A 12451-nucleotide genomic window follows, 5' to 3' on the forward strand; every position below is an offset into this window, starting at 1 on the left:
AACAGGTAAATTAATGTATTGCTGATGGAGGGCTTAAGGAAATTCCAACATGAGTAGATAGCTGACAGCACACTGCTGAGTGTTGAGAAAGTACAGAAAAAACACATATAATGCTTGAGCAAAGGAGTTTGAGACCAGCCTGGGAAACATGGCAAGACCCTATCTCTACAAAAAATCTAAAAAAATTTAGCCAGGCATAGTGGCATGTGCCTGTGGTCCCAGCTACTTGGGAGGCTGAAGTGGGAGAACTGCTTCAGCCCAGGAGGTTGAAGCTGCAGTAAGCCATGTTCACACCACTGCCCTTCAACCTGGGTGACAGAGCAAGCCTCTTGTCTCAAATAAAACAAAACAACACATATAGGATATTTTTCACATTAATAAAACTCAGTTCCTTAAACTGTTTGACATTTGGCTTAAGGTGAATGTAACTAGGACTTTCTCTTACACTTACCCGTTGTTGGTGAACAATGTTTTTATGCTCACGTGCCACACGTGTGGCCCATTTTCGAGCTTCCTTATTTAGACTGTGCTCCTCTGTGGTCCCAGTTTCTGATTCTAACTGTCGGCTCTACAATACAAGAGAGAACAGAGATAAAAATATTGCTATCCTTATTGTAACCACTACTGCTTTGTAGATGGATCAGAAGGCCTTCACTTAATCAGCACTCAAAACATGAGGCACGCTCCACTACTGCTGGAAGCAATGTCTTAACGTCACAGAAAGTTACCAGAAGAGTAAGATCAGCATAAAACCATTAAAGACCATAAGCTTTTTGTCTTACACTGCTGAACACAAAAGCATCATCTATAATACTGCAGACTTATCTTTTTGGGTGTGATGGACTTATCTTTCCGAGTGGGAAGGAAGCTAGCTAAGGTAAGCAAAGAAGAAAATGTATTCATGCCAACCTACTATGGTGATAAAATCATTGCATAAATAAAAATGGAAACAACTTAATAGTTTAAATGTGAGTAAAGAATCATTAAAGAGAAGTAAGAACAAAACAATATAATAACAGCAACACAATCTTGCACCCCTCCCCCTGCCCCAAGGCAGACGGAACTCTTTAGAGGTCCACCATCAACTTGCCACCAAACCTCAAAAGCCAGCTTTTGCTCTTTCTCCAGGCTTCATATGAAAGATAAGGGTGCTAGATCAAATGATCACCAAGGGTTTCTTCTAGCTCTAAAATGCTATGATTCTGATTTACAAAGAACAAACCACAAAATCTAAATAAAAATAGTAATAGCTAACTTCTATTGTGCAAGGTACTATGGAAAGTGCTTCATATAACTTTTTTTTTTTTTAACAACCTGATGATGTGGGTCCCACATCATTTTATAGAAAAGAAAACAGAGGCTCAGAGAGGTTAATTTTTCCTGGATGTCCTAGATGTTAAATGTTACAACCTTAATTGACCGATTCCAGAATCAGAGCTATTAAACACAAAACTATTTTAATTCTCTCTAAATTCTTAAAGACCCAAGAAAAACAAACTTTATTGAGATAATTAGGAATTTTTTTTAAAATATAAATTACCCAAAGAGGCTTTTAATATAGAAAGCAGCAAAATTGTAGAATGAAAAGAATTTTAGAAATTCTGATCACGGCTCACTGCAGCCTCAACCTCCGGGCTCAAGTGACTCTCCCACTTCAGCCTCCTGAGTAGCTGGAACTACAGGTGTGTGTCACCATACTCAGCTCATTTTTTTTTTTCCTTCTAGAGATAAGGTCTCACTATGTTGCCCAGGCAACATAGGAGTTCAACATCTTGAACTCCTTGGCTCAAGTAATCCTCCCACCCTGGTCTTCCAAAGTGTTCAAATTAGAGGGATGAGCCAGTACACCTGGCCTAGTAATTCTTTTGCAAGGTCTCATAGCTCAAAATTGATAGAGTAAGTAGAAATTGATAAACTGGATTTTAAAAATTAATATTTTTGTTGGGGGAATTGTGATGAGGCAGGGTTTAAAAATTTTTGTTCTATACAGACATTTCAGCTAGATTATAACAATGACAAATAAATTGAAATAGAGCAAAATAATCAATATTCAAACTTAACCATCTTTACATTCATATTTTACATTCTAATTCATTTTTGGGGTTATCAGAAGTTTGGGAATGAACTTTACTATTATATTTTGCTTTGCAAATGAATCTGGGCATTCAAACTTACATCTGTTCTCAAAGTCAGGAATATTAAAGTGTTAAACTCTGGACACAGATACAAATGAAATATACAAAAGTCAGAGGAATGTGATCTGTAAAAGTAGAAAGATAAATTCTGAAGAGTCCAAGAATAGGTTTTTGAGTCAGATAGACTTAGTTTGAATCCATTGTATGCCATTTTATGGCACTACTAGCTTTATGATCTTGGGCATGTTAATTATCTGAGTCGTAGCTACATCTGAAAACTAGTGAAAATGTCACCTATCTCCATAGGGTTGGTAGGTTATAATGAGGTCATATTTTAAACATTCTGGTATAGGATCTACATAATATCTTAGGCATCCAGTAATGGTAACTGTTAATGTTAAAGACCCAATTGAAAATTACTTGAAACAAAAATTTTCTTATTACTGTTCATAAGAAAATCCAGATAATTCCTAGGTTCTTAATAGCCTAAACAATGAATCCAAAATGAAGATTGAAGATATATTGAAAGATTAAGGCAGATCTCAAAGAGAATGAATTTGTAGGGAGTAGCTAGATGAGAAAGGAGGCAACTGATAGAGACATTTAATTTTTGTTACTGAGCAGCATTTTAGGAATAGGTAAAGGGGTTTAAATTGTGTGCTGGCTGCAGATGGGCCATAACCCAATTTGCCTTACAGAATTTATACCTTCTTATTGAGTATTCACTGTGCTCAGGATAGAGCTTTTCCCTTATTTTTTATGTGTCTACTAAGACTTGGGAGTCCAATGATCAGGACAGGTAACTAATGCCACTGATTGGAAGATGTGGCTTTGAGATCCTTTGGGTAGGGAATGACACAAAACTAAAACTCAAATTAATTTATCCTTTTCATGAATTCTGAAATCAAGCCATGGAATACATGTGGAAGCTCCTGAGACACAGGTCTTGACAACTGAGAATTTCATACAAGGTGAATACAGCCCAGGCTATTAAACAATACACAGAGAAATGTTCCAATACCACCTTCACTATCAAAGATCAATATAAATCAGGATCTAGTATAGATAATTATGTTTTTGTGTTTTTGTTTGTTTTGTTTTTTGTTTTTTGAGACAGAGTCTCACTCTGTTGGCCAGGCTGGAGTGCAGTGGCATGATCTCAGCTCAGTGCAACCTCCACCTCCTGGGTTCAAGTGATCCTCCTGCCTCAGCCTCCCAGGTAGCTGGGACTACAGGCATGTGCCACCATGCCCAACTAATTTTTTGTATTTTTAGTAGAGACGGGGTTTCACCATGTTGGCCAGGATGGTCTCGATCTCTTGACCTCGTGATCCACCCGCCTCGGCCTCCCAAAGTGCTTGGATTACAGGTGTGAGCCACCGTGCGTGGCTGGTAATTTTTTTTTTAAGACAGTGATATTAGCAGTGGTCGATTCTAACAAAGAAACCGTAATGACTGCTTCTTTTTAAAATGCTGGCAAATTTATTTTTATTTTTAATTTTTTGAGACAGAGTTTCACTCTGTCACCCAGACTGGAGTGCAGTGGCATGATTTTAGCTCACTGCAACCTCTGCCTCTCGGGTTCAAGAGATTCTCATTCCTCAGCCTCCGGAGTAACTGGGATTACAGGGCATGTACCACCATGCCCAGTTAACTTTTTGTATTTTTAGTAGAGATGGGGGTTTTGCTATGTTGGCCAGGCTGGTCTCGAACTCCTGTCCTCAAGTGATCCACCTGTTCTTGGCCTCCCAAAGTGCTGGGATTACAAGCATGAGCCTCCACGCCTGGCCTAGATCATTCTTTTAACATTTTTCTTTTTGGAAGACAGGTTCTCACTCTATTGCCCAGGCTGGAGTGCGGTGGTGCAATCATGGCTCACTGCAGCCTTGACCTCCCAAGCTCAAGCAATCCTCCCACCTCAGCATCCCAAGTAGCTGAGACCACAGCATATGCCATCACACGCAGATAATTTTTTTGATTTTTAGTAGAGATGAGATCTCACTATGTTGCCTAGGCCATCTCAAACTCCTGGCCTCAAATGATCCTCCTGCCTTGACCTCCCAAAGTGCTGGGATTAGAGGCATGAGCCACTATGCCCAGCCCAATATTTTTCCTTTATCTTTTAAAAATGTATTTGATACAAAAATTAGCTAGGCGTGGTGGCGCCGGAGGTTGCAGTGAGCCAAGATCGTGGCACTGCACTCCAGCCTAGGCTACAGAGGGAGACTCTGTCTCCAAAAAAAAAAAAAACTCTAGTCCCTTTAGAATAAAATATTACAATAAAGTCTTTTCAACATTCATAAAGTTATTAAATAACTTTGAAGAACTAAATTAAGGAAATCAGCATTCCAATATTCTTGATATATTAGTCTTTAAGTCATCTTAACTATTTTGTCCTTAGATGCTCTCTCAAGATATGATTTTGTTTTATTTTAAGGTTAATACAAAGGCATAGAAGGCTCAGATATCTGAGCAGAGTGAGCAGCGATAGAAAAGCTGACTTCGCAGAAGAAAACAATCAGTTTTTTAACTCTGTAACTAAAATATAACCATTTCAAGGAGAGAAAAAGAGATGGTCATGTATGATGAATGAAAATCACTAACAGTAAAATACTAGCATTCCAAACCATTTCAAAAAAAGATAGTGTTGGGGTTGTTAGGCCAATGGCATAACATTCTAGTTAACCCTCATTCAGGGAATTTGTACTACTTACATTTTTCAGTTTACTGAGAGACAAGAAATATACTGGGGCTGGGCACAGTAGCTCACACTTACAATCCCAGTGTTCTGGTAGGCCAAGGCAGAAAAACTGCTTGAGGCCAGGAGTTTGAGACCAGCCTGGGCAACATAGCTAGACCCCAGCTCTTAAAAAAAATTAGCACATACCTGTAGTCCTATCTATGGGAGGCTGAGGCAGGAGGATTGTTTGAGCCCAAGAGATCAAGGCTGCCAGGAGCTATGATTGTGCCCTCCAGCCTGGGTGACAGAGCTTCTCAAAAAATATATATTAATATATTGAGTTAAATATTGGATCCATCTTATTCTTTATGAAGTATATTAATATATGGTTAATTATTTCAATAAAGTTATTAATTATTTATCCTCAAAAGGACTTCTTCAAGTAAAAAGCATCTGGATCTCTGTATTCCAACTACACGTTTGTACAGGTTCACAATCCCACAATTCTGAAATTCAAAATGCTCTGAAAAAGAATAAGTATTTTTTGGTAAGTTTGGAGCCAAAACTCACTTGAGCCAAAATGTGATTTGAACTAATAAGAGGTTATTTATAGTTTTTTCTTTCATATATACATATATGAATGAAAATATTCATATGTTTCACTGCAAAAATACTATGTTTGGTCACAGGTGCTTCCCCATACATTGCTCAGGGTTTTATGCAATGTATGGTATATGGGTCACTTTTCTAAAATCTGGAAAATTCTGAATTTTGACATGTATTTGGCCCAAGGCTTTTGGTAAGAGACTGTAGACTTTTAAGTCACATATTTCAAATATGCCACACACCTTGAAGAGGAGTGGAACAGTGCCTCTTAAGAGACATAATTTAACTTATTCTGACTATGCTAGGATAGCAGAACCTTCACTTGGAAAGAAGTGGGAACTCATCTAGATAATTGTTGAGTGTGCCTGGCCTCTCAGGAGAGCACACTGGAGAAGAACTGGTGTGGACTGAGCCTTGGGACAATTCTGGAAAACTCTGGACACCTGGGGAAAAGGAATATACCCATTAAGGCTGGGGTGAAGAAATGATGAGAACTCTGAAAGGAGCTATTCTTTTGTCTTGGATTAAGAGTACCAAAGGCAAACCTTAGCAAAAAATATGTCCCTGAGTAATGACATGAAAGTAAAACAAAAATGGCATAAAAACCTTGCGTCTAACACTTTTGAGAACATACCTAGAGGCATGGTTAGATGGAACAGCCTTATAAAGAGTATGCCTTTATTTTGGTAGCTCTCACAGAGATCTTGCTTTAAGAGCTATAATCACAAGCTAGATAGGGGAACTTTCAGGCTCCTATTGTCAGCACATAACTAATGCGTCTATGCAAAGATCTAGTTACTCTGGATGGTTAGACAAGGAACCAGATCAGGAGAAAGGTGACTAAACCAGTAGAGGGCCTATCACATAGATAGTGGACTTTTTACAAAAAGCCTTTTGTGAAACGCTGAAGAAATTAGGACAACCACTACGAACACTTAACTGTCAGTATTGCTAATTCTAAAACGCAACACTCATGTCTTTAGTCAAAGCCTCTCATTTTTGGATACTGTGCCAAGCATGTGTAAGAGGATGGTACCTATTTACTCAACAGGAGGACATCCCACAAATTCTATCACAGCCTTTTTCACATTTATGAGACAACGCTATATGCAATACAAAATTTCTACAAGCAGAAAGAGCCACCCATAACAAAGAGAATTTTCAGGTACATTTCCTGCACAGTATATTAACCCCATGTAGACTTTTATAGACAAGGGAAATTTTTGCCAAATATTTTTTTAATAGATGCATAAATCACTCCCCTTATGTAAAACTTTAATGTGTAAAAATCCTCAACTACAGCAAGTGGACATTTTACTTACTATAATTTTTAATCTATAGAAGGCAGAATTAAATATCAGAAATAGCATCTAGAATAACAGGGAAAGATCATACATCAGAAATTTAGTGTCAGCTTTTTGCTGTCATGATCTGTGAAGATCTTGTTATTTGCTGTTCAAAGAAGGTAAAGGGGAAAGTGTATTCTCATTCCGACTGGGAAACCTGAGGAAGTTTCCGTGTTTTTCCTGCCTGTATAGATCATACTTATCTAAGTTTTGTGGACATGCATGTTTCCCATATTATTTCCCATCCCAGCTTCGCTTTGTCCTTTTTCACAGGATGTGAGAAAATGCCCCTAATGGCACTCATCACTAGTTCTGGTAATGAAAGGATAGGTCACTGAGATGTACATAGGGCAGAGATGTTGAAAAGTACAAGTCATGTACTTAAAATTATTCCAAACAGATTGCCTTTCAGATGTACAAACTGCCAAGAAGGCCGTTGATGAGATCCTCTTTGTGGAATAAGTAGAACAAAAGTCCCAAGGGACTTTTAGTGATCAATCCAATAAGGGAGTTGAGAGCTAGGGATCATGACTGCAAAAGTATTGCAAGTATTTCAAGATTTGTAATGTCTTCTATATTTGATATTTGGTATTTCCTGTAGCAATTAGGGGGAAAATACTAAAAAAAAAAAAAAAAAAAAAAAAAAGAAAGAAATATGCTTGCCTTGTGGATTTTTGTTTTGTTTTGTTTTGTTTTGTTTGAGACAGAGTCTCACCCTGCCACCCAGGGTGGAGTGCAGTGGCGCGATCTCGGCTCACTGCAAGCCCCGCCTCCCAGGTTCACGCCATTCTCCTGCCTCAGCCTCCCGAGTAGCTGGGACTACAGGTGCCCGCCACCACGCCCGGCTAATTTTTTGTATTTTTAGTAGAGACAGGGTTTCACCATGTTAGCCAGGATGGTCTCAATCTCCTGACCTCATGATCCGCCCATCTCAGCTCTCAGCCTCCCAAAGTGCTGGGATTACAGGCGTGAGCCACCACGCCCGGCCGTCCTGTGGAAAGATTTTAAGAAGTCAGTTAACATCTATTCTGACTCAATGTGCCAGGCATTGAGTTAAATGCTTAGTATCCTATTTAATTTTCAAACAAATAAGGTATAGTTGTCCTTCCATATCTGTGGGTTCTGTATCTGTGGATTCAACCAACCGTGGATCAAAAATATTTTTTAAAAAGAGTAAAAAAAAAAAAAAAAAAGGATAGTTGTGTCTGTACTGAACATGTACAGACTTTTTTTCTTTGTCTTATTTCCTAAACAATGTAATAGGACCATTATTAGCATAGCATTTACATTGTATTAGGGATTATAATCTAGTGATGATTTACAATATATGAAGGATGTGCACAGGTTATATGCAAATATTACATCATTTTATATAGGGGACTTGAACATCTGTGAATTTTGGTACACAAAGAGGTTCCTAGAATCAATCCCCCATGGAAACCAAGGGACAACTGTTGTCATTTTACACATGAGGAAGCTGAATCACAAAAGTTAAATATATGTAAATAAACTGCTAGTTTAGACACCCAAACCCATGTTTTCTCCATTGTACACCACCTGTATGAATCACTAACCCCAGTGTGATCCATGTGTCAGCTGAATGACTCTAACATTGAGATCCTAATAAATGTGTTTGTCAGTTCTCTCTCACAGAATATTCTTATTATAGACAGGAAGATTTAAAGGCACATTCCATATCCTCCTCAGAAAAATTCTGCATTAAAAAGTCATTTCAGCAAAAAAGATGTATTTTACTTTTTCTAGAAAGAGCTCTGGCTTTCTGGTATCATCTGAGAAATGATAATTGAAGATATAAAGAAAGAACACTTTAGAAATCAGTAACTCTCTTATGGAAATATAGATAAGAAAATCCTTCAGTATTAACCATGAGACAGCTATTAAGTTACTACATAAGAACAAAGCTTGCCATTGGTCACTGTCACTTGTAGTCATCTTTTGGTTAATATTAAAATTCTACCCAAAAAAGCCCTAATTAAATTACTATAATAATACTGTGACTATACATATTCAATTGGGTGTCTTGGACTTTTGTAGGGAAAACAGTGTAGTTTGAAATGGGTTATATTAAAAAGTTAAAAAAATTTTAAGACAGTTTATGAAAATCATCAGAAGAGTTACATTTTATCACAGTGGTAACTTTAAAAGTCCTATAACTTTCCTAACTATATCTTACGTAAATTTAGATAAAATATTTGCTGAATTCTCTTGCCTGTAAGGCAAGGGCATATGCAAAGTATATGTAAGTGTCTGCTTAGTAAATGAAAAATAAATTTGTTAAACCCATAAGCAGTTCAAAATTCCTAATTCAAACTATAAAATTCAAAATAAAAGAACAATACTGTCCTGCCCCTGCAATGGATCTCATCCTATTACTATCTTACCTGAGTATATAGTTCTCCATTTACCATCATATATAAAACTCAAAAATAACACCTGGTTGCATCCCACTTTCATCATCAAGTCTACTTGCTATTTCAGGTATAGTCATGTACTTTCAAACTTTTCTGGCTCTAATGCTTATTAGCTGAGTGACCTTGAGCAAAGCAAATTGCTTTTCTTTCTATTTTTTTTTTTTTTTTTTAAAGACAGGGTCTTGCTCTGTCACCCAGGATGGAATGCAGTGGTGTGATCACGGCTCATTGCAACCTCCACCTCCCGGGCTCAAGTGATCCTCCCACTTCAGCTTCCTGAGTAGCAGGGACTACAGGTGTGTGCTACCATGCCCAGCTAGTTTTCTGTATTATTATTATTATTTTTTTTTTAGAGAAAGGGTTTCGCCGTGTTGCCCAGGCTGGTCTCGAACTCCTGGGCTCAAGCAATGCACCCACCTTGGCCTTCCAAAGTGTTGGGATTACAGGCGTAAGCCTCTGCACCCAGCCAGATTTCTTAACTTTAGTTTCCTCAACTGTAAAAGAAGGATTAAAAATAGCACCTACAATATAGGGTTGTTGTGAAGATAAAATAAATTAATATAGGTAATGCCATTAGAAAAATGTCTAGCACGAAATAAATGTTCAATGAATGTCACCTATTATTTTTATTCTTTTCAATTTTTGTTTTTGCTTCCTGGCATGTTGCTTCTCCCTCTTTGCAGAGTAAACTGCAACTCATCTTCAAGATCTAATTCATAACAAGTAGACACAATCCAATAAAAAAATAGAAACAAGGTTTGAATAGACATTTTACCAAAGAAGATATATGAGTGGCTAATACACTCATGAAGATACTCAACATCATTAGTCATTAGGGAAATGCAAACCAGAACCACGAGATACTATTTCATATCCACTAGGATGATTATAATCAGAGCCAGACAATAATACATGTCTGGCTGAGGCAGGAGGATCTTTTGAGCCCAGGAGTTCAAGGCCAGCCTAAGCAACATGGTGACATCCCCTCTCTACCAAAAATAAAAATAAAATAAAACAAAATAAAATAAAAATCAGCTGTAGTCCCAGTTACTCGGGAAGCTGAGGTGGAAGGACTGCTCGAGCCCAGGAGGTTGAGGCGCAGTGAGCCGTGATTATGCCATTGCACTTCAGTCTGGGTGACAGAGTAAGACCCTATCTTAAAAAAAAAAAAAAAAAAAAAAAGACTTTTTAAATGATTGAAGGTCTGGAATGATTTTTTAAAATCATAGGCATTTATCTTTTTCCATTATGAAAAAACTAATTGCTTCCCAAGTCCTGAACATTTCTTCTTAGAAGACAGAATAGCACAGCAGACATAACATTACTATTGCAATCACAACAGTAACATGTCATTAATTTACCGTATGACTCTGGACAAGTCTCCCTTACTAGGCTACAGTTTCCCCTTTAATAAAGACAAGATTAGCTCTAAGGTTCTCTCCAGCACACCTGTTGAAGAAGATTAAGGTGCTTCACACAAGATGAAAAATGAGTAGCTCAATTTCTTCACTATAAACAGGGAAGGAAATTCTTAATTTATAAGAGAAAACACAGCTGGTGCATCAGGGCCTCTTATACATGTATATACATAACTTTCATCCCAACACCAGGTCCCACCCTTCATTAACATGCAAACCCACACTTCCCATCCCTCCCGCCCTTGACCCACACCCCATATACCTCAGCTATGGTCATTCTCAGAGCACTGACAGGGGAGAGCTCAATATCCACCAGTTGGGCGGCTTTTAAACTCTGCCCAGTAAAGATTGCACAAGGACAAAAAACATAGCATAGAGTTAGAAATTTAAGGCAAACAAGGACACAACACCTAAGAACATTTAGCACAGTGTTTAGAAACAAAAGATTTAGGGCTGCAGTTGGGCTGGGAAAAAGTGAGATGAGAGTCACTGTTATTCTGATTTTTTCTGTGGAAAATAGCAATGATAAAATAACATCAAATTAGTCATAATTTTAAGACAAGCTTGACACACTTGTCTATACCCTGTATCTTCTAATGCTCTGCTTCATCCCTCCCAGGCTTCAAAGAAGTCAAATCACAGGAGAATGTGAATAAGTCATTGGCAAAAGCTGATTTGATTAAAAAAAAAAAGCACTACTATAAAGGGCAAAGGTTGTAATATAGAGGGAAATGCTGATTTCCTACATTTCTTTATATAGCTGCTAACAGAGCTACTTAAAGTATAAGAAAAGTAATGAAGATATCGCTGGCAAATGTGTTTCTATTAAACTGATACCATTAAACTCTGGAACTATATCATAAACTCCCTTGGTTCTGGTTCTAAATTTATCAAAATACTTTATGAATATAATTTGATTTTCCTTTTGGCTTGCCTACATTGACAGAATGTACTAATAATGCCAATGCGTGCCTTCTCATTTTGCAGAAGTTAAATTTCAATTTTTATGTTACCAAATTAGCATTTTTGTTCTTTTTTAAAAATTTAAATAATGGCAAACATTTCCCATAAACTCAAGGACGATTACTGTATGCTTTTAAACAATTGCCAATTGGGGCCGGACATCGTGGCTCACGTCCGTAATGCCAGCACTTTGGGAGACTAAAGTGGGTAGGTGGCTTGAACTCAGGAGTTCGAGACCAGCCTGGGCAACATGGTGAGACCCCCCCATCTCTATTGAAAATACAAAGAAAATAGCCAGGCACAGTGGTGCGTGCCTGTGGCCCCAGCTAATCGGGAGGCTGATGTGGGAGGATCACTTGAGCCCAGGAGAGGGGGGCTGTAGTGAGCTGAGATCACGCTACTGCCCTCCAGCCCCAGTGACAGAGTGAGACCCTGTCTCAAAAATAAAATAATAATAATAATAATAAATAAGTAAAAATAAAAACAAAAATTGCCAGTTGGAATCTACAGACAGAAAGTAGATTAATGATGTCAGGGGCTGAGGTGAGGAGTATAGGGAGAGTGACTGCTTAATGGGGTCAGGATTTCTTTTTAAAGTGATGAAATGTTGTGGAACTACCAAGTTATGACAGTGCACAGCACTGGAAATGTAGTAAGTGACAGTGAATCAATCTCACACTTTAACTATGGTTAAAAATGGTAATTTTTGTGTTATGTGTATTCTGCTACCATAAAAAAAATGGCAGAGGGGTAGAGGCATTAAAAAAATTGCTAATTTGAGGTTTATGTAAGTGCTTTAATATTCTAAGAAATCTGAAAGGAATTATAAAAGGCCTATAATCTTTTATAAGACCAACCAAAATATTTCATA

General features: G+C 37.7%; 1 protein-coding gene across 5 annotated transcripts in view; it reads right to left on the reverse strand.

The window, feature by feature from the left end:
• Positions 1 to 12451, reverse strand: part of FCHSD2 (FCH and double SH3 domains 2) — a 305574-nt gene that overhangs the window by 52633 nt on the left and 240490 nt on the right. For all 5 annotated transcript variants that reach the window (NM_014824.3, XM_011545409.2, XM_011545410.3 and 2 more), the window contains one exon: positions 452 to 568. In NM_014824.3, the coding sequence (NP_055639.2) occupies positions 452 to 568 (117 nt within the window). The remainder of the gene's footprint in view (positions 1 to 451; positions 569 to 12451) is intronic.

This window comes from Homo sapiens, chromosome 11, assembly GCF_000001405.40.
Source record: "Homo sapiens chromosome 11, GRCh38.p14 Primary Assembly".
Taxonomy (NCBI): Eukaryota; Metazoa; Chordata; class Mammalia; order Primates; family Hominidae; genus Homo; species Homo sapiens.